This window comes from Homo sapiens, chromosome 10 (genome assembly GCF_000001405.40).
Source record: "Homo sapiens chromosome 10, GRCh38.p14 Primary Assembly".
In the NCBI taxonomy this organism is placed as follows: Eukaryota; Metazoa; Chordata; class Mammalia; order Primates; family Hominidae; genus Homo; species Homo sapiens.
Genome location: NC_000010.11, coordinates 123,791,422 through 123,814,931, shown reverse-complemented (window position 1 = coordinate 123,814,931; position 23,510 = coordinate 123,791,422). Strand labels below are relative to the sequence as shown.

General features: G+C 40.6%; 1 protein-coding gene across 6 annotated transcripts in view; it reads left to right on the top strand.

Moving 5' to 3' along the window:
• Positions 1-23,510, top strand: part of CPXM2 (carboxypeptidase X, M14 family member 2) — a 198,466-nt gene that overhangs the window by 129,173 nt on the left and 45,783 nt on the right. For all 6 annotated transcript variants that reach the window (XM_017015673.2, NM_198148.3, XM_011539285.3 and 3 more), the window contains 2 exons: positions 15,733-15,817; positions 16,806-16,956. In XM_017015673.2, the coding sequence (XP_016871162.1) occupies positions 15,733-15,817; positions 16,806-16,956 (236 nt within the window). The remainder of the gene's footprint in view (positions 1-15,732; positions 15,818-16,805; positions 16,957-23,510) is intronic.

Here is a 23,510-nt window from a genome sequence, read left to right as displayed (position 1 = left end):
CAGCTCAACCTGCCGAGTAGCTGGGACTACAGGTGTACACCACCACACCCAGCTAATTTTTGTATTTTTTAGTAGAGATGGGGTTTTGCTATGTTGGCCAAGTTGGTCTTGAACTCCTGACCTCAGGTGATCTGTCCACCTCAGCCTCCCAAATTGCTGGGATTACAGGCATGAACCACTGCACCTGGAAATTTTGCATAATTCTCTAAACAGTTCACAACAAGGACTATCAGTGTTGTCCATACTATTAGAAGTAGAGTCCTTAGCATTTTTGGGTCTAATCATATTAAGCAGCCAACTCCAGAAACCCCCAAACCAATGAAAGAACTCCATCGTTAATATTCTGCTCCTCTAGAACCACTCCTAGTACCAAAATCTGTATTAGTCAGGGTTCTCTAGAGGGACAGAACTAATAGGATAGAGAGATATATAAAGGGGAGTTTATTAAGTATTAACTCACATGATCACAGTGTCCCACAATAGGCCGTCTGCAAGCTGAGGATCAAGGAAAGCCAGTCTGAGTCCCAAAACTGAAGAACTTGGAGTCTGATATTCGAGGGCAGGAAGCATCCAGCACAGTAGAAAGATGTAGGCTGGGAGGCTAGGCCAGTCTGGTCTTTTCACATTTTTCTGCCTGCTTTATATTCTAGCTGCATTGGCCCCTGATTAGATGGTGCCCATCCAGATTAAGGGTGGGTCTGTCTTTCCAAGCCTACTGACTCAGATGTTAATCTCCTTTGGCAATACCCTCACAGACATGCCCAGGTTCAATACTTTGCATCCTTCAAGCCGATCAAGTTGACACTCAGTATTAACCATCATAGCACCCAATGGTCAAGACTGATAACTGCAGCTACCACTTAGTCTCAAATCCAAAATCCCAGAAAAGAATGTATTGGATCAGGTGTCTAGTGTAGGCCAATCAACTGTGATCACATTATCAAGGTACTGTGATTGGCCTAGTTTCTGTCAGGTGCACCTTTAGGTATTCCACTGTGGCCAAGGTACACAGTCATGCTGCACAACACATCTGCTCCAAAGGTGATCAGGTACAAGGGTCTAAGTGGAAAAATAACTCCCACAATAGAGCTAAGCACACAAAACAATGTTTCCAGGTAGACATAATTAACGCAGATTATGATATCTGTTGGGCACCACCATGTATGGCACATCTTCCAAAAGTCTCATCTCTAATTATTGAAGACAACTGACATTACAGTCATTAGAAAAATTCACTAAGATCTAGATTTCATGTTTAGTTTATGCTTTCAATGTTCAATTTCTTAAATTCTGATTGATTATGTGGCCTCTGTGTTTTGAGAAAGGGAGATTATATGCAAGTGATGGAGAAGTGCTAATTTTAGGTTTAAGATGTAAGAATTTTTAACCAAGAACAATTACTACGCATCATGTGCAGCTCCAGATAACTTGCTTAAGGACCCCTAAAGGTTGGCAATTGATCTGAGAACACTGAAATCCTATACCTAGGACCTAGGGAAAAGAGAAGCATGATGAAGACCAAAGAATAGGGGAACAGAGCATCCAGGTATGGAGAAATAGGAAACAAGTGATCTGATCCTTTCTTTCTACCAACCTAGTGAATTACCACATCCTTGATGATGAACTTGGCTTCTTCTTAGACAAAGTAAGATCATGTGTATGGAAGCATTTTGCAAACTGAAGTGCCAGATGAATTGTTATTAGAAAATGTTAATACAGTTGCTCTTTCAAGGAAAGAAGAAATTATACCTAAAGAAATCAAGAGCAAAGATCTTATTTTTTTTACTTATAAAACATCTTTAAGAGATGAATGTGGCATCTTTACACACGTCTGTTTCACAAAAGGTAGTTGTGGCGTTTTCCTGTATGTAGGCCTATTGTACAACATTCAAATAAATATATTTTAGCTTTATCATTATGTAATATTTGATGGATACAAAAGAATGGATATAATATATGTGTAAGGTATTAAGCGTTACAATAAAACCAATGCTCATGAACCTGCCATGCAACTAAAGGGCTAGAACAGCAGTCCCCAACCTTTTTGGCACCAGGGACCGGTTTCATGGAAGAGTTTTTATACAGATGGTGGGGATGGGGGATGGGGAAGGGGTGGTTTTAGGATGAAACTGTTCCACTTCAGATCATCACGCATTAGATTCTCATAAGGAGCATGCAACCTAGATCCCTCATGGGCACAGTTCACAATAGGGTTCATGCTCCTGTGAGAATCTAATGCCCTAATGCCACCGCTGATCTGACAGTAGGTCGAGCTCAGTTGGTAATGCTCACTCACCTTCTGCTGTGTGGCCCAGTTCCTAACAGGCAACAGACCAGTACTGGTTCATGGTCCAGGGGTTGGGGACCCCGGGGCTAGAATATTGTCCTGTTAGTGTAGTCTCTGATTGATGGAAATAATCTCTGTGCCTTTTCCAGATTCCCCTGCTTCTTCCCAGAAGTGGAATCATTCTCCTTATCGGGGACCAATTAATCTCCTACCTTTAAAAACTACTCTTGTCACATATGTATTACATATGAAAAAAATATTTTTCTTGGTTCAGGCTTTATAAAAATGATTTTATACTGAATGTAGCTTTTGGAATTGTCTTTTTCCACTCAACATTATGCTTCACAGGATCATCCATGTTGTTACCTGTGGGTTTAGTTCATATATTTGTAATGCTATTTAACCTTGCAGGTATACTGCAATTTATCTATTCTTTGATGAAGATTAGATTGTCCTCTTTTTGATTTTTTATTGTTGCTGTTGTCATTATTGCAATTTTCTCTTAAGAATAATGCTGCTATTAGCATTCTTGTATATGTCTCCTGGATCATGTGTACAAAGCAGTCCCCATGATATATACATAGGAATATAATGCTGGGTTGGAAGGTATGCAAATGGTAGTTTAACAGGACAATGACATTTGCTGTCTAAGTTGATTGTCATAGTCTTCTTTAAGGTTTTTATTGTGAAACATTTTTACCAACATTTGGCATTGCTATTCTTACTTTTCAATGTAAAAGGTGTAAAGCATTATCTTTCACTGATGTCCTTAGAGAAACTTGCATTTCCGTAACCACTAACAGGGTTGAACTTCCTTTCCTATGTTTATTTGCCGTTTGGTTACCTTTGCTATGAAATATTTGTCATGTTTCTCCATTTACATTGTGTGCTTTTTCTTTGTCTCATTGATTTACAGAATTTTAAAAATATATTCTCAATATTAATCTATTGTCAGCTAAATATGCTCAAAATAGATTCTCTCAGCTTAGAATTTCTTTTACTGCTTTCTTGATGATGTTTTTTAATAAGCAAAAGTTTTAAATTTTAATGTACTTCAGTTTATTTGTCTTTTATGATTTGGCTGGTTGTGTTTTATATATAAATTTCTTCCATACTCCATGGTTATGAACTTATTCTTCTATTTGTTATTCAGGTTTTTTAAGTTTTAAGTTTCGCTTGTCACATTTAAGTAGCTAATCCAGTCAGCATCATTCTCTGCAAACTATTGCAAGGACAAAAAACCAAACACCACATGTTCTCACTCATAGGTGGGAATTGAACAATGAGAACACTTGGACACAGGAAGCAGAACATCACACACCAGGGCCTGTCGTGGGGTGAGGGGAGGCGGGAGGGATAGCATTAGGAGATATACCTAATGTAAATGACGAGTTAATGGGTGCAGCACACCAACATGGCACATGTATACATATATAACAAACCTGCATGTTGTGCACATGTACCCTAGAACTTAAATTATAATAAAAAAAAAAAGAAAAAAGAAAAAAAAAAATGATTTTGTGAAAAATGTTAGGTATAGGGTCCAGTTTTAGTTTTTTTCTATATTAATATTCAGTTACCTTGAGATCATTTATTTAATAGTTCATTTATTTAAAATCGATATGCTAGAGATCTCTTTCAGGTTTTATATATGCATGGGTCTGTTTCTGGGCTCTCAATTCTCTTACATTTATAAATTTGTCTATTCATACACCATTATCACAGTGTCTTAAAGCTTTATAATAATAAGCTTCAATATCTTGATAGGACAATACTCTACTGTTTCTTTTTCTCATAAAGTATCTTGGCTATTTTGGGCTTTATTCTTTCCTATACATTTTAGAATCAGTTTGTGAAGTTTCTTGAAAATGCAATTGAGATTTTTGGAAAGAATTGACACATTTCCAGTTTCTTCCTATCAATGAACATGGTATAGATCCCCACTTATGTATGTCTTTTAAAATGTTATTCAATAAAAATTTAAAGTTTCCTCCATAAATATCTTGCACATCTTTATTTTATTTGTAAGTGTAAGTACCTTATTTTTGGCAGCTGGTGTATAGAAATGTAATTAATTTTTTGTGTATTGGCTTATGTCCAGCCATCTTGCTGAACTCTCTTATTAATTCTATTTTAGAAATGTTTTTACCTTTATGGATAATTACATAGTTTGATAAATGTTGTATGTATGCTTAAGAAATGAATATTCTCTAACTTTTGTGTTCTGAGTTCTATGTATATTCATTACATAAAGGTTTTTATTTTATTAAAATCTTGTATATTTTTGCTATTTTTGTTGCCTTTTTAAAATAATAATTGAGAGAGGAATATTAGTACTCTTCTATGCTGATGGATTTGTCAGTTTTTACTTATACTGATTTTTATTTTATTTTACTTTTTGCTTATATTTTTGGAGCTCCTGTATTAGGTACATACAATCTAAAATTGTTATTTTATTCCTGGCAAACTGAATCTTTTATGATAATGTAATGACTGTCTTTATCTCTAATAATGCTTTTAGTCTTAAAATATATTTTGTCTGTTATTATTATAGCTACCTTAGTTTTCTTTTAGTATTTGCTTTTATGGATAGTTCTTCCATTAATTTCAACTTTCTTACATTTTGGGTCTGTTTCCTATGAACAGTATATTTGTAATTTTTAATCCAACTTAATGATCTATTAACTAATCTATTTATATTTGTGGTGATAGCTTTTATAATTTGATTTATTTCTGCTTTCTCTCTGTTATTCTTTTTAGTTTTCTTTTATATAATCTGAGTTTTCCCACCTTGCTTGGTTTTTCCATTATGCTGATTTTGCATAAAACACTCTGTTATTTCAGTTTTTACTCCTGGAATTTTACCAAGTATACTAAGCAAAATTGAAAGAAATATCTTATTAATTTTTAATAAGTTAATACTTCCTTAACAATAATAGGATACCTATGTGTCTCAGGTTCTTCATCTGTAAAATGGAGATAATAATACCTACCTCATAGCATTGTAGTGATACTTAAGTCAATTTATGTATATGTATGTGTGTGTGTATGTTATCTATATCTATATATGTATATATGTGAGTGTATCTATATCTATTTACATGAGTGTATTTATATCTATTTATATATCTTAGAGTGGGACCTGGCACATAACAAACACAAATTACTGCCTTTTCTATCTTCACTAAGTACTTATCATGCACTATGACTAACTTTTGCAGTTTGAGGTGCAACAGCAAAACCAGCATCAATTTCTTTTTTGTTCTTCACAATTTCACTGACAGCAGATTGGTTCTTACTATAGATCTTAGCAATCTTAGCATACCCTATTTTTTCTTCTTTCATTATTAAGTTGAGAATCACCGTTTCATTTAAAGGAAACACTTTATGGCTTCTCTTTCATATGTCTGAATTGCCAGCATCCCTACTTCTTGCACTTTGGGGCCGTTCTTAAATAAAATAAAGGTTATAAGCACTGCCATATCATGTCAGTCGATCTGATAACTGAGAAGGCCACTAAGTGACTAATGGGCAGGAAGCCTCTACAGCATGGATGTGCTAGACAAAGGGGTGATTCACGTCCTGAGCAGGATGATGTAGGATGCCGTGCTATTTCACCATGCTACTCAAAATGGTGCAATTTAAAACTTGTGAATTGTTCGTTTCTGGAATTTTCCATTTAATATTTTCAGACTTAAAGTTACTACAGTCTGTAGAAAAGGAAACCATGGATAAGGGGGGATTACAGTATTTGTGAAGTGCTTCCAAAGGCATCTGATGTGCTAGGTACTATATAAATCTTTGCTAAAGGAAAACTTAAAAATGTGATAATTACAAAATCAGAAGTTCTTTGGGACCTAGGTTTGTTGCTTTTTGTTTATGCTGCCTTTTTCTCATGGAGAATATTTTCTTATGGGTTTAATGATTTTTTAAAAATTGTATAAATAATTGTTCTTGACTCAGTAATTACTTAATTGTACCTGCTGAAACCTCCAAGAGCCTATGTTGAAGATTCTTTTCTTTTGAGGGGATTCATGTGTGCTTCTGTTAGGAACCAGTGGATACCACTGTGCTGAGATCTTTTAGCCACTTTTGAGAGTCCTGGAAAAGTCTCAAGTTCAGCTTCCCTAGCTTTCGATGGTCCTCAGGCTTAGTACTCTGATCCTGGCACTGTTAGATGCATTTTCCCTGGGGCGACCCTGGCTTTTGTGTTTGTGCATTACTCACTATTCTTTTTTTCAGCTAACAGCTGGTTGTTGTTGTTGTTGTTGTTGTTGTTGTTGTTTTTGTTTGCCCAATTGGAGAGTTTCTTTACTTGCTCACAAACCCACTGATGGTTTTAAGCATTTGTTTTGATGTCACCAGAAACTAGTTGTACACTAGTAGAAGGCTCTATAAGCAATTAATCTTTCCTTTTGTTAATGATAGGTATTCTTTGTTTTTAATTAAACCATATTAGCATCATATAGTAAAATGTCTAAATATATGCCAGCTTTTTCTATTATGGCCTGCCTCCTCTGTTTTTTCTGATTTGAAGGAAGGCTGGATTGGAGGGCAATGTGGTAATATCATACAAAGGTATTTTGTTTTGTTTTAAAATTTTTTAAGTGAGGGAGATGGCTGCAGCCCATAGAAGCCTCTCCTCATTCCGCAGTCAAGAAATCTTTGACACAAACCTTTCTTTATTTGGACTACATTGCTTGGAGTTCGTAACCTCCAGTTGCAGAGAATTAAATGTCAAAGTGGTTTTGTGATGTGGAATAATCTATTTGAGGAAAGTGGAAAAAAGCCACAACAGTGCCATGGTTTTTAAACTTTCCCTGAAGATTAGAAGACCAGGAAACAGTGACATTATAGCTTCAGTCTTCTGAGCCTCTTTAATAACAATGGATTTGCCTGTCACAAAAGAATAACATAATCAGCTTTTATGTTAGATCAGGACTATGTTCATTCACGAACCTGCCCCTCCTCCTTTTCCATCTAAGCCACGCAGACTTCCTCTGCCCTCCCACGACTTGCTGTACTTGTCTCATCACAGCACTTGATCACACTCTCTTGAAATTTCCAGATTACTTCCTTGTCTTCATCATCAACCTGTAAAAACCTTGAGTAAAGGAATGTTGTATAAGTTACCTTTGTATTCCCAGAAGCTAGTAGCTGCAGGGAGAGGAGCAGGACTTAACCACACATCTCATAATGCTTTAACCTTTTCATGTAGGTAGAGCTTTAAGACACAATTCAGTCCTCCCACAACATCATACAGATGGGCAAGTATCTCTTCTATCACCCTGGATTATCAGCCTGCATTATTTTAATGAAGATTTAATTAATTATTAATTTCCTTATGGCAATGACAGAACATTTCCATTACTAGGGCACAAAGGGGTAAATGTGAAGATCCACACCCTGGAAGTGTTTGGAGGGAGCATCTGAATTATGTCCCAGTTCAACTTTAATAGTAATCCTGTATGTTGGTATGGCATCTGACAGTGTATAATTTCTGTGTTCTTATTAACAGCTCATATTTATGGAACAGTTACTACGTGCCAGGCACTGTGCTCAGACTACTTGCATTACCCCATTCAATCCCTACTCACTATACAAGGAGGTAGAGTTGTTACCTTATCTTACAGCTGGGGCTCAGTAGACACGCTGCTATCACATGGGTTGCAGCTAGTAAGTGGAAGAACTAGAATTTCAGTTTGGTCTTTGATATGGTTTGGCTCTGTGTCCCTGCCCAAATCTCATCTTGAATTGTAATCCCTACGTGTAGGGGAGGGACGTGGTGGGAGGTGACCGGATCATGGGGGCAGTTTCCCCCATGCTGTTCTCATGATAGTGAGTTGTCATGAAATCTGATGGTTTCATAAGTGGCAGTTTCTCCTGTACTCTCTCTCTGTCTCCTGCCGCCACGTAAGATGTGCCTTGTTCCCCTTTGCTTTCCACCATGATTGTAAGTTTCTTGATGCCTCCCCAGCCATGCAGAACTGTGAGCCAACTAAACATCTTTCCTTTAAAAATTACCTAGTCTCGGGTAGGATCTTTATAGCAATGTGAGAATGGACTAATACAGCCTTCTTAATGTCAAAGCCTGAGGTATTAACCAGTATACTATAACATCTCTCAATTCATACATTAATATATAATCTCCATGTAGATAACTTTATTATTTTCAAAGACTAGGTAGCTTGCCAAGCTTATGTAGTTAGTAAACAACAAAGCTGGATTCAAGCTAAAATGGCTGACACTCATTTTTCTACTCATACTCTTATTGCACGTTTACTCAATGCCACAACAGTAGTTTCAACATGTGTGTGTTTATACAGAAAAGCAATGCCTCACAAGCCAATAAAATCAAAATTTTTAAGTGCTGAAAGAAAATAAACATCAATCTAGAATTCCCAACAAAAATATCATTCAAAAATGATGAAATGAAGAAGCCATATTCAGACAACAAAAACTGAAAAAGCGTACTATCAGCATACTTGGTTTAAAAGAAATAGCAAAGGCGCTCTTCAAGCAGAAAGAAAATGATCTCAGATGGAAACGTGGAAATGCAAAATTAATGAAGCATACCAGAAAGGATAAATGAGTAGGTTTATAATCATTAACTACACACAACAGTAGTAGGAATATTTTATAAAATTTAAAATACATATGGAATTGGAAATGAATTCCAAAATAATGCAAAAGCTGGAGGGGTAAATGGACTTGAAGTGTTGTGAAGTTCTGGCATTACCATGGAAGTAGTAGAAATTATCATTTGAATTAGATTGTAGTAATCAAGGATGCATATTGTAATCTTAAGAGAATTATGAAAAGAATATTGTGAGTGTATAACTAATAAGTCAATAAAGAGAAACTAGTAATCAAAATCTGATTATTTTGTGATTTTTTTTCCAATCTTAATATTGGCAGTGATCAATTTTGAGTGATCAAAATTATTTGTATGGAACATTGCATCCAACAATTACAGAGCCGATATTGTTTTCAAGTGCACATAGAATATTTGCCAAAGTTGACCATATACTGAGCCACAAATGAAACCTCAAGAGAAACCAAAGGGCTGACATGATTTAAAGTATGTTCTCTGTCCACAACGGAATTAAACTAGGAATCGGTAATAAAAAAGTAACTGGAAAATATCTAGTACCTAGACATTAAACAACACACTTCTAAATAGTTCATAATCAAAGAATAAATCACAATAAGAATTAATATTTTGAACTAAATGGCAAAGAATATATGACCTATCGAAATTTATGGCATGAAACTAAAGAGTGCTCAGAGGGAACATTATAACCTGAAATGCTATATTAGAAAAGAAGAAAAACTGACAATCAGTGACCTCAAGAAGCTATATAAAAAGAATCGTAAATCAAACTTAAAGAATGCACCAGGAAGGACATAAGTCATTTTAAAAATTTATAATTTATAATATTTATAATTGATTTAATATTTTTGAATGTTGACATGATACAGAGCTGAAACAACTCTGTTACAACCTAAAGACAATATATATGAAAATGAAAACATCTTGATGTTTTCTTAGAACTCTGAGACAATATGAAGAATGAAAGCAGATGGATGTCCTCTTAGAACTCTGAGATGACAAGTATGTAAAATGAATGTGTAATAAGTCCTCTTGCCACATCCACGTAGAACTTGGAGATAATGAGTATGAAAACTGAGTTCTTACACAGTCGACTAGCTGAATAAGTGCCAGCAGCATCAAACATCCAGACTCTGTTGTTATGTGAAAAAGAATGAACTCATACTTGATTAAAATAAAAACAAACAAAAAAAGAAAAAAAGTAGAAAAAGTCCTACAGGAAGCATCTTACTCAGTGGTGAAATATAGAAACCTTCCCTTGGATCTCACGAATGAGGCTGGGATGTCAGTTATTCACTTCTTTCAGCATTGGACTGAACATCTTAGCCAGTATAATAAGACAAGAAGAAGAAATAGAGGACCTAATGACTGGAAATAAAGAATCAGAACTGTCATTGGGATATCATCATATCCATAAAAACATCCAAAGGAGCCCACAAACTATTGGACCTAATTAAAAAATTAACAAGGTAGCTGGGTACAAAGTCAACATATAAAAAGCATCTATGTGTCTACATACCAGCAACAAATAAGGAGGAAGTAAAATTTAAAATGATACCATGTAAAATCATTTAAAAAATCAGCTACCCAGGAATAAAGCTAGCAAAAGATAAATAAAAGAAGACCTAAATAAAGAGGATCATATACCATGTTTATAGATTGGAAGATTTAATACTGTAAAGAGGTCAGTTCCCCCAAAATTGGTGTATATATTCAATATTAACCCAATTAAAATCCAGAGGCTTTGTTTTAGAAATTGACAAGCTGAATTTAAAATTTATATAGGACTGCAAAGATCTAAGAATAGTGAAGGCAACTTTGAAAAGCAAAAACAAAGTGAGAAAACATATACTATCAGATATAAGGATGTATTATAAAACAATAGACATTAAGACAGATTTAGGATAGGATAAGAAGTAGACCAACAGAACAGAATAGAGCATCCAGAAACATACCTACATATATACAGTCACATGATTTATAGCAAATTTCCACTCTGGTGCAATAGGAAAATAACCATATAAATGGTTCTAGGTCAGCTGGAAGCCCATATAGAAAACCATGTATCTTGGGCTGGGTGCAGTGATTCATGCCTGTAAATCCCAGCACTTTGGGAGGCTGAGGCAGGCAGATCATGAGGTCAGGACATCGAGACCATCTTGGCAAACATGATGAAACCCCTCTCTACTAAAAATACAAAAAATTAGCTGGGCGTGGTGGCACGTGCCTGTAGTCCCAGATACTTAGGAAGCTGAGGCAGGAGAATCGCTTGAACCCAGGAGGCAGAGGTTGCAGTGAGCCGAGATCGCATCACTGCACCCCAGCCTGAGTGACAGAGAGAGACTCTGTCTCAAAAAAACAAAAACAAAAACAAAAAACAGAAGAAAACCATGTATCTTGACCCGTCACACTATATGGTAATCAACTCCAAATGGATTGCAGATCTTAAATGTGAAAGGTAAAGCAATAACGTTTTTTAGAAGAAACATCAGTTAATATCTTTATCATCTTGGAGTAGGCAAAAATTTATTGAAAAGAACAAAAATACTGAAAGCCATAAAGAAAAAAATGGCTAAGATTGGATTATATTAAGAATTTTTTGTCATCAAAAGATACCACAGGCTGGGCATGGTGGCACACACCTATAATCCCAGCACTCTGAGAGGCCAAGGTGGGTAGATCACTTGAGCCCAGGAGTTTGAGACAAGCCTGGGCAACATGGCAAAACCCCATCTCTACAAAAACAAACAAACAAAATACAAAGATTAGCTGGGTATGGTGGTGCATGCCTGTAGTCCCAGCCACTTGGGAGGCTCTGAGGTGGGTGAATTGCTTGAGCCTGGGAGGCTGCAGTCTGGGTGACAGAGCAAAACGCTGTCTCAAAAAAAAAAAAAAAAAAAAAAAAAAAAAAAAGGGTACTACAAAGAGGATGAAAAGGAAGACAAATTGGAGGAGATGTTTGCAATATATATATATATTCAACTCATATCTAGAATGTATAAAGAGCTCTATAAATCAATGTGAGAAAGACAGACAACTTAATTGAAAAAGGGGGAAAACTTGAGTAGGCACTTCTCAAAAGATGGTGTTCAAATACCCAATGAACATACAAAATATCGAACTTCATTAGTCACCAAGTAACTTAAAATAAATCAACAATGAGATAAAAGGATACATCCATCAAGAATGGCTAAAATAAAAAAGGAAGATAATAACAAGTGTCAATAAGAGCATGGAATAACCAGACTCTTGTTTATTGCTGGTCTGAGTACAAATAGGTATAATTAATTTGGAAAATAATGCGGCTGAACGTAGGTATATGAGCATGTCTACCCTCTGACCCTATGACCTAGCAATTCCACTCCTAATTATACACCAAACAGAATTTTGTATAAATTCACTAAAATATACATGCAGGAATGTTCACAGAAGCACTCTTCCTAATAATCCAAACTGGAAACTACTCAAATCCCCATTAGCAATAAAATGGATAAATAAATTGTGGTGTCTGTTCTCAGAGTAGAGTAGTAGAACGCAGTGAGAATGAATAAAGCATAATTATAAGCAACGATAAGAATTATCAAAGACGAAACTAGGTCTGAAACAAAATGAACAAAGCCTTTATAAACCTAGGACAAGAGGACCCATCTGTGATCACGCTTATTTCGGCAGTGGTTCAAAGGCGGTAGAAAGGGGAGTTAGTTTTCTAAACAGGGAAAAAACAAAGACAGCCTCTGATTGGCAAGCATTCTATTATGGTGGAACTTTTGGAAGTAGAGGATACTTTCTAATTGGTCTTCAGGTACTTTGACCACCCTTGGCGAACTTCAAGAGGGGTAGCTCCCTACTGCCTGGCAGAGGAAGTTCCACTCCTATCAAATGGCCTAAAAGCCTACCATGCCCTGGCCTCTGCTCCCCTGTCCCTTCCTCTGCTCTCCTGGGGCACCAGCATCCTTTCTGTCCTCCAAGTGCCATGTGCCCTCCTTCCTCCATCTGTGAGATGCTTATACGTCAGTGGGAGAGAACGACAGTATCAAGTAATTCCAGAAAGGAGTATGAAATTACAAACTGAATTAAACTATGAAAGAAAGCATATAAGAAAGAAATTGGCTAGATTGAAGGGTTAAGACTAGCTTTTTTACTTGGTATGAGGTCTGAATAATTTAAAGGCAGACAGAGGAGGAGAGAAGAGGAGGAGTTCAAACAGCTGCAGCAGTATGTGCAAAGGCCCTGGGGCAAGAGAGAGTATAAACAGTATTAGGAATTGAAAGAAAGAACACGGAGAACGCAAGGCAAGCAAGGGTCTCGTAGAACGTGATGGGGATTTTGTTAATACTAAGATAGCACAATATTTAATATAAGAATACTTAAAATAAGAGCTATTTTAAGCAGGGATGACATGATCATATTTCATTAGAAAAGTAAGCTCTTGCCTGCAAGATAGATGGGGGAGCAATTTAGATGCCAGGGGGCCTGAGAGAGTGAACTGGGGTGGTGGCAGGGGAGGTGGAGAGAGTTGGATACATTCTTGAAAATGCGGGAGTTAAAATTGACAGAACTTGGTGATGGATTCAATATAGGGGAATGTGTTATTCTGTTTTCATACTGCTATGGAGAAATACCCGAGACTAGGTAACTTATAAAGAAAAGGAGATTTAATGGACTCACAGTTCCACATGGCTGGGGAGGCCTCACAATCACGGTGGAAAGCGAAAGAGGAGCAGTCATGTCTCACCTGGCGGCAGGCAAGAGAGCGTGTGCAGGGAAACTGCCCTTTACAAAACCGTCAGGTCTTGTGAGACTTATTCACTATCATGAGAATGAGATGGGAAGAACCTGCCCCCATGATTTAATTACCTCCCACTGGGTCCCCCCAACAACATGTGGGGATTATGGGAGCTACAATTCAAAATGAAATTTGGGTGAGGACACAGCCAAACCGTATCAGGGAGGAAGGGAAGGTGGGACACCCAGGCTAACACTGGGATTTTGGTCTCCCTGGGTGAATGGCAGTACCTTTCTTGGGGCAGGGCCTCTGGTGGACTGTCACGTCAGAGTGTAGAGCGGAAGGCGTGAATCAGTTCGTTTAAAGCAAGTTAAATTTGAGATGTCGCAGAGACTTTAAGTGGAGGGGTCAACTAGGCAGGAGGATATGATGTAGCTTTGCAGTTCAGAAGATAGTTCTGAGCCATAGAAACAATTACGATTCAAACATAAGTAGGGGATTGGTATTCTTATTTTTTTTTTGAGTTTGAGAAATTATGACTTGGCTTTCATTTCCTTTTTTTCCCTGCCCTCTCCTTTTTCTTTGGAGAACTTCTTTTTATTTTTCTCTTTACTCCCCTCTTATTGTCTTGTGCTTCTCTTGACCGAGGGGTTTCCTACATTCATCACCTCTCTCTCGGCAGGATACAGCTCCCGCCTCTGTTGTCTGTCTTGCTGTATCACCCTCGGGCCTTATCAGCTGAAAAACAGGCAGCAAAGGAACGGCAGCTACAAGTCATTCGGAAATTATTTGTGTGTGGGAAACAGGTTGCTATTTTGGGTGTGGATAATTTTCCAGGGCAAAGGAAGGAGCTGTTGCCGAGGTGCTTTTCTTGTTAAGGCAATGCTAATGCATCTCCCTCCCCAGCCCTGGGCTCAAACTGGTGACTCTCAGAGGAGGAATGTGGTGTGTGATCGATTCTGGCTTCTAACGGGTATTCAGACAGAGCTGGTGGGGAGGAGAGAGGAGAAGAAGAGAAGGTGTGAGATGAGGGTTTGTTTCCAAGCATGTATAAAATCACCTAAGAATCATTTTCATGACAAGTCAGTCGGATGAACCAGAATGCATAGAACCAGCTGTTCTTTTGAAATAAACTCTACTGGGCAGTATAAATTCAGACAGGAAACTCAAAACTTTATTTGGATAGATCTGAATCCTGAGGGCAAGCAGGCAAGTAGGAAAAGGATTCCAAATACTTCAATGGGCAGAATTTTCTAAAAAAAAAAAAAAAAAAAAAACCAAAAAACTAGTAAATTGCTTCTTAGTTCCAATATTTAAAAAATTAAAAGAGGGGGTGTACTCAGGAAGACTTTCCTATATTGTTCAACAACTAATATTATAAAAAACTGAGGCAGAGAGAAAAAAAGATGTAGGTCGCTTTTCTTGCCAAGGCTATCAGGTTAACCTCCACTCTGGAAAGTCAAATTATGGCTAATTTACCCCCAGAAATTTCTGTGCAGTAGGGTGTGATGATGGGGGTATTTATTTGGGTCCAGCCATCACTGGATTCTTCCTGGGGTGGGGATTGTCTGTGTGGCTGTGACAGCCAAGGAGAAACTCAGTATCTCTTAGAGACTCAACATTTTATTTTTGTGATTGGTAAAATCTCATTTGTTACATTCCCAAATCAGCTTCCTAACCAAAATGTTTAAACCGGTTTGCAACCTTTACCCAGATTATTTTTCCACTGAGCTTCTTGGGTGTGATGTAGGTGTTCAGTGCAAACAGTTACGTACACATTTGTATATCTTTACATCTGTGATCAACGGTTAGTGATTACTAGGGGCTAGGCCTTGTTCTAAGTGATTAAAGGGCATTAAACGGAGGCTTACATTAATTCTTTAAGGTTGATGCTTTTATGATTCCCATATTATGGATGAATATATAGTGGCATAGATGGGTCAGTTAGTTACCTGACTGAGGTCACAGAGCTGTAAATGTCCTGGAGCCAGGGTTTGACCCAGTGCCATCTGCCTCTGGCACCTGCTCTCCTCACTTCTAAACCTCTTCATGGAAGAACAAACATTTTAAAGTGTGTAGTCCTAATGATGTTTTATTTTCTCATAGGAGTGACTGGGTGACATCCTATAAGGTCATGGTGAGCAATGACAGCCACACGTGGGTCACTGTTAAGAATGGATCTGGAGACATGGTGAGTCTCATCCTCCATTTAACCATGCCTTTCTTCCTGGCTGGGTGGGGTTTTGCAAAGAGAGGCAATGTATGATCAACTCTTTGGAGATTTGTGGATTCTCTGTCAACTCAAACCTACCACTACAGTCTGATGGACAGAGACCCTTTCCCTGCCCTGAAGCCCAGCAGCAAGTGACACACATTTAGAGCTAATGTAAAATTCAGCCTTTATTTACTCCCATCAGGCAACTGCAGGAATGCAGCCTTTTATGTAATTTGCAAGTTAGCCCTGGAAGTTGCATGCATGGGGCATGCTAGGGCCCCTTGCAGCTGTTCTTAATAGTTTCCTAACTTCATTTGGTGACCTTGGCCTTTTAGTTCCATGATTAGCTCCAGCTTAGTCCTGATCCTGTCACTCTCTTCCTCAGATTCTCAAGTGCATATTCCTAGCATGGTATCCAATGTCTTACATAGTCTGACTAGTCTTGACTGTGGCCTCCTTTTTCAACCTTCTTTCTCATTCTTACCCCCTACACACAGTCCTGTGTCCTTGTACAAGTGAAACAGCTGCTCTTCTGCCTATGAATCCAATATTTAGGCTTCTGCACTCATTGTTCATTTTCTCTGGATACCCTCTCATCCCTACGGATCTAAATAGCTTTCCTTCAATGCCAGTTCAAACAGCCCCTCTTCCCCAAAACTTTGCCTGGTCCTCTCCATCTTCTGAAATCCCAAAGCTCTCTAGTTGTCCTTTTGCCGTGACACCGATAGATTTTTTCTACAGTATATAATTACCAGCCCCACTCCCTGCATACCAACTAGATGGAGGCTTCCTGAGGGCAGGATCCAGGCCTGATTCATTTCTTTTTTTTTTTTTTTTCTTTTCAATGCACAGCACACATTAGGTTTTCCTCAATAAAGTCTTGTTGAATGAGTGAATTCTGACTTTTTATCCCTTGGTAATTAAGCACTAAAAGATTTTCCTTTTCTCCCATGAGCATAAATAGATATTTGAGGGAAACAGTGAGAAGGAGATCCCTGTTCTCAATGAGCTACCCGTCCCCATGGTGGCCCGCTACATCCGCATAAACCCTCAGTCCTGGTTTGATAATGGGAGCATCTGCATGAGAATGGAGATCCTGGGCTGCCCACTGCCAGGTGAGTTCACCCTCCTGTGCTTCCTGCAGGGTGGGAGCACTGATGGAAAACAGATGCCCAGCCAAGACAAATAAAAATAAACTAAGCAGACCAGGCACAGTAGCTCATGCCTGTAATCCCAGCATTTTGGGAGGCTGAGGAGGCAGAATCAATCACTTGAGTCTGGAAATCCAAGACCAGCCTGGGCCACAAAGGGAGACATTGTCTCCACAAAAATAAAAATAAATAAATAATAAATAAAATATAAAAATTACCCAGGCATGGTGGAGTGAGCCTGTAGTCCCAGCTACTTGGGAGGCTGAGGCAGGAGGATCACTTGAGCCCAGAGGTCAAGGCTGCAGTGAGCCGAAATAGCACCACTACACTCCACCCTGTCTCAAAAAAATAAAAAGGTAAAAAGTAATAATAAACCAAGCAGTTGTTTTCTTATGTAAAAAAATACATGTCTATGGTAGAATATTTAGAAAACATAAGTGAACCAAAAAGAAAATGAGTAAACATTTCCCATAAGCCCACTGGGAAGCACAGTGAACAATCGGGCTACTAAAGTCCCTTGCCAAGTGTAGTTTTGCCTATAGTGATTTTAAGATGATGCCTACCACTCAGAAGTGAGAAAAAAGAAAATTATGTTGAAATTTGGGAGAACACGTTTATCTGTCATTGGCAGATACCATTACACTGGGTAGTGGCGGTGGGGTAGGAGGGAGTAGAAGTTCATTCTAAACCATTGACAGTCTTTTTCTGATGAAGTAGCTGCTCTTGGAAGCCTGTGTCTTTGGGTAAATGCTTACTCAGGTAGTATTCCACTTGCCTTATTTTCACATGAGATATTTGGGGGTAACCTCGGGGTGGCTTGAAGAAAGGGGGTTTGAATTCACATGTGCCACCTGCATCTTTGGTAATGTCTTCTCTGCACAGGCTGCTCTGTCTCAGCCTTTCAGGCATTCCAAGCTTGTGCCTGGATGGAGCCTGCAGGCTGCAGCCTCTTCATCCTGACCACACATCTCCAAAGAAGGTGGCTGGCCTGAGATCACCCCCTACAGGGCCTCATCACTTCATGGGGCCTATAGGAAACTTCACATTCCTGTTCACCCGCAGTCCACCCACGCAGTCAGGCTGTGGGGACATGGGGCACAGTCGTCACTCATCCCCCAAACTCTCCAGTGAGGCCTTCCCACTCCTGCCTAGTGTGAGGTGCAGGGCTGGCTACCTATGGGACTCGTAGTCCCTTCCAGCACTGCCTGGGGCAGGGTACCAGCTCTGATGCTATTTCTGTAGTAACCCCCTCTTCATGAACTTACATTTCCTGTATTTTTGAAGCATACTGAAGGTCATTTAATTGTTTTTCTCTCAATCCCGTAGTATTCATGATCTTGCTAGCCAACCTCAGATTTTTTAGAATACAAACCTCATGTTGGTGAGAAAGACAGATCTATCTACCTAACTGCTTACCCTCACACTGGTCATATTTTTTGTGTGTTTTATATTTATGTGTACTTATTCGATTGTGCAAGTTTTTTTATGTCATCAAAACCATTAGAGACCATCTGTCTTTGGGATGCTTCTCCCCTAGCCCGTGGAAAAAATGCCATGTTTTCAATCTGCCTCAGACGGTTGGAAGTTCAGTTGTTTCTAATCACTGGATTCTGTAAACAACCCCACAGAGAACATTCTTATTGCTCTGTCCTTCTTTTGTGTGTGTCCACAATTATTTCCTGAAATTAGATTATGATAAATAGGATTGCTGGTACAAAGAATGTGCCCAGTTTCAAGGCCGATGCAGAGAGAATGTGGAAGGCCTGATCGTGGATGTGGGCCTCCTTCTGTGGCGGGCTGGTGCAGGAACTGCCTCAGGACTGGTCCCGGCATCCTGGACCCGCTGGGCTCTCCAGCACAGGGCGACTGTGGGCACAGGTATCTTCAGGAGGCATTTATGGGCTCTGGCCCTCTTGATGCCAGCCCAGGAGTCTTGCTCTCCTATTCTGCTCAGCACAGCCTTGGTCTGCTTGCTTGAAAAAGTAGGGCCGCAGCTTTTCTCTGCGGGTAGGAACTCATCTGTTGTTGGCAAAGGGCAAAAAGGCAGCCTATGAGAGTCTCATGAAATAAATACTTCCCTGTGAAGTTATTCTTGGTGTGTGCGTGTTTGAAGATGGGCCCTGGAGGGCCTTTAAACCCTCACAAAGTCAGGGTTACACTGTGAAATCTGAATTCATGTATGGACTCAGAATGGTTCTATTTTCCACCCCCCAAATATTGAGGACCATTTTTTTTTTCTAGAAGTTACTTAGCAGTTTGCTCAGAGGGGAGCGGCTGTTCACGCATGCTGCCTGATGGGGTCATCATGTCCAAGGATGGGGCAGCTCAGGGGCCCAAAATGAGTCTTGCTTATCACCCCGGTGCTAGGGAGATTCCTTTGTAAAAGTTATTGAGGCCAGAGCCAGGGATGACCCAAGGTGACCTCGTGGTTTAAACGTAGCCTCTCCGAGTCTGCACTTTCCAGGCCTCTTTCTCACGAAACATTCATTTACCTTTGCTTCTGCGTCTCTTTGTTCTGTCCCCTTCTTCCCTCACTATCTTCCTGTGAACTCTCCGGTGGGGGCGGATGAGGGTGCTGGTGCTTTTTAAGACTCTATGCATAATGTTTCCAGAAATTTTTGAGCTGAAAAGTGAATTACCATATACCATGGTCTATTAATAGAATTTTTAAAGCTCAAAAGTCAAAGAAAATGGAGAGTTGTTGTTGAGTGGGTACAGACTGTCAGTTTTGCAAGATGAAAACATTCTGGAGATGGCTGGTGGTTTCACAGCAAGGTGTATGTACTCATCACTACTGCACTATACACTGGAAAAATGGTCAAGTGGTAACCTTTATGTTATGTGTAGTTTTCCACAATTAAAAATAATTTGGCAGGGCATGGTGGCTCCCACCTGTAATCCCAGCACTTTGCAAGGCTGAAGCAGGTGGATCACTTGAGGTCAGGAGTTCGAGACCAGCCTGGCCAACATGCTGAAACCCCGTCTCTACTAAAAATACAAAAATTATCCAGGCATGGTGGCGGGTGCCTGTAATCCCAGCTACTTGGGAGGGTGAGGCACAAGAATCACCTGAGCCCAGGAGGTGAGGTCGCAGTGAGCCGAGATCGCACCACTGCACTCCAGTCTGGGTGACAGAGTGAGACCCTGTCTCAAATACACACACACATGCGCACACACACACACACACACACACACACACACACACGGTCTTAAATAAATAAATAAAAATGATTTGATTGCTATTAATAAAAAACAATAAAAGAAAGTCCTCTTTTCTAAGGTCAAATGGACTAGTCCATTTTGCACTGAATATCTATGCTTATCAGAACCTGGGGAGATTTCTGAAGATAAAATTTTAACAATAAAAAAAAGCGAGTTAAGAACTGTGCCAGCTGACTGGCCAGATGGTCATGGCCTTGGTGGTTTTCAGAGATTTTGCTGTTGCAAACAGCACTGCATTACATGCTGCCTGGTTCTTAAAAGGACCAGGTGAGCTTTGCACATGATTACCCCACTAGGCTACAGCGTTGGCACCCAGCATCCTAGCAAATGACCTTCAAGATACTGGGGTGGCAGTGCTTGAGCCCCTGGAACTGCCCAGTAGCTTATATGATGAATGTGTGGGGCTTTGATGTCTTTGGGGGAAGTTGTCACTCTTTCCACCTCGTCTTCCTGGCCAGGTCTGAGCGACTGTCCTCCCTTTGTACAGCACTGAGATGTCCAGGGTTCTTGGGTGTGACTTACAGAACCTAGTGATGGGCACAGAGATCTGTGGACAGGAGCCACTCCCTCAAGCACAGAGGAGCCGCCAAAAGGCAGTGCCTGGGAGTCAGTCCTCCAAGTCGGCCAAGAGCAGGTGACACACTGTATCCTTCCTCCTGATACGCACATCCTCCCAGCCCATGTTCACTGGTTCATAATTATTGAAAAGCTATTTTAATTGTAAGGCCACCGCCTGTCTTGCTAAACTGTGATGTTTCAGCCAGCCACCCCACCCATCATGGAGATGAACAAATTGGAGAAAGGATGGTCTGTTGCTCTGTTGGGTCACCATGGGTGCAAGACTTTGTACATAAATTGATTTGCTTTGCTCCCTTCCATTTTTGCTTGCAAAGTCGGGCCTGTAGTCTGAATACCCTCTTGTGGCAATGGGTTGATCGTTCATTTGGTCCCCAGGCCTGGACTCTTAAAAAGATAGGAGTTAGGTAGAGGGCATCAAGCAGCCATTGGCTTCCTCATTCTGGGCCTCCTTTTGCTGAGGGTGATGTCATCAGCGAGCTTCTTTTTGATGGGCATAGACAAGCTTATTGGAGTTGCTGAGTACCAGCTGAGCCCTTCTGGTTGCCAGGGACTTAAAAAGCAGATGAGTTCACACCCCTTTCAGGAGAAGCCTGGTGGACAGAAGGGACATGAGCTTTGGCTCAGCTCAGACCTGGGTGCAAATTCCACTTTTTTTTTTTTTTTTTTTTTTTTTTTTGAGACGGAGTCTCGCTCTGTCGCCCAGGCTGGAGTGCAGTGGCGTGGTCTGGGCTCACTGCAACCTCCGCCTCCCAGGTTCACGCTATTCTCCTGCCTTAGCCTCCGGGTAGCTGGGACTACAGGCCCCCGCCACCACACCCGGCTAATTTTTTGTATTTTTAGTAGAGATGGGGTTTCACCGTGTCAGCCAGGATGGTCTTGATCTCCTGACCTCGTCATCCACCCGCCTCGGCCTCCCAAAGTGCTGGGATTACAGGCCTGAGCCACTGCGCCCAGCCTCAAATTCCACTTTTGCTCCTCAGCAACTGTGGTCTCAGGTAGCCCGTGCAGATGTTCTATGGTTTACTTTCCTATGGAGTAGAGGGAATACCTTCGCTGTAGGGGTGTGACTAAGTCCTTCAACTTCTGTGGTCATGCTTTCATAAAACATTCAAATAAAATAACACAAATGTTCCTCACAGTCCTAAGGGAAATCCCAAATCTCCTCCTTCCCTAGGGTTTCTGGGGGCTCTGGGGTGGCTGCCCACCTGTCTTCTACCACCTGTGGGTCCCAGCTCTGCTCTGGGTTGCCTTAGGTCTTTCCTGCCGGTGGCTCTGGGTGCTAGAACAGCAGTCTCCACTGATGCCGATTTGTGTGCATGAGTATTGCAGAAGGTGTGGGGATAACAGACCTTCTGATGCCGATTTGTATGCGTAAGTATTGCAGAAGGTCTGGGGATAACAAAGGGGCAGCCTGGGCAATCAGCGTTTCTCTTCCTGAGTTTTCTTGTCATCCCAGCAAGGGGAACCAACCTGTTGCTCACTGCCTTCCTCCTCAGTCTAGCCTGCTGCCCTGCCACACTGGTGTTAGAACTGTGCTCTCCCTGGGGAGATCTTTCCTATCTGTCTCTGCTTCTCATTTCCGGTCTCTGTCTCTGCTGTCCCCTGGCTTCCTGTCTCTGGGGCTTCTGGGTTAGGGTGGTGGGCGGAATGTCTGGGTTTTTTCTGATAGAGACCTTCTTCCATCCTGGCTAGCTGGCGCCTTGCGTTTCAAAACCATGAGTTCCGTGAGAAGAACTCTGCTACTCCCCTAGGAAGCAGAAGAGGCTGCTCTTGTTTTGATTGTAAGTTTCCAGCAGCCCCTCCATTCCTGATCGGGGACTCTGTGAAGACTAAATGAGCACCAGTGCATGGTTAGTGCTCAATACACTTGATTTTTCCCAATTTCCCCTTCTTCCTCCTTGCCCTGCCTGAGGTTTGGCTATTTTGTTCTGTGGCTGCCTCATTTCTAAGGTCACCAGATCCCATAGGTGGTGAGTGGATGTGAGAAGATACTTCCTCCCCATTAACCCTGTCCTGGTTTTGTTTTCTGTCCTCTCTGTGACTCGCTAATGGTGCTAAATCGCTACTTTTCCAACAACAAGAATGCCAAAGCCTCTCCCTGTGCAAAGTACTCTGGGATTTGAGGTTGAGATGGCAGGTCACACGGGGAACCACAGATTTCTCTCCTGGCCTGTCTCAAACTCTGGGCCTGGGTTCAGCTGCGCAGCAAGAAGCCCACTGCTCACTGTACAGAAGCAGCTCAGTTCGGAAGGATGGCCTCTCGCAGTGGGCATTTGTTCAGGGCTCGCCACGACTGACTGCACCAGGCTGAATAGTGTCCCCAGAATTCATGTCCCCCTCAGAACCTCCAATGTGATCTTATTTAGAAACAGGGTCCTTGTAGATATAATCAATCAAGAGGAGGTCCCCCTACAACCTTGGATGTGATCTTATTTAGAAACAGGGTCTTTACAAATGTTATCAATCAAGAGGAGGTCATACTGGATGAGGGTGGGCCCTTAATCCAATGACTGGTGTCCTTAAGAAGAGAAAACAGACACACAGAGGCACACAGGGAGAATGCCATGTGACGTCGCAGGTGGAGATCGGAGTGATGTGGCTACAAGCCAAGGGTTGCAGGCAGCCAATGGACATCGGAAGAAGCAGGGAAGGATCCTCCCCTAGAGCTTTTAGAGAGACCACGGCCCTGCTGATGCCTTGAAGCTCTATCCTTCAGA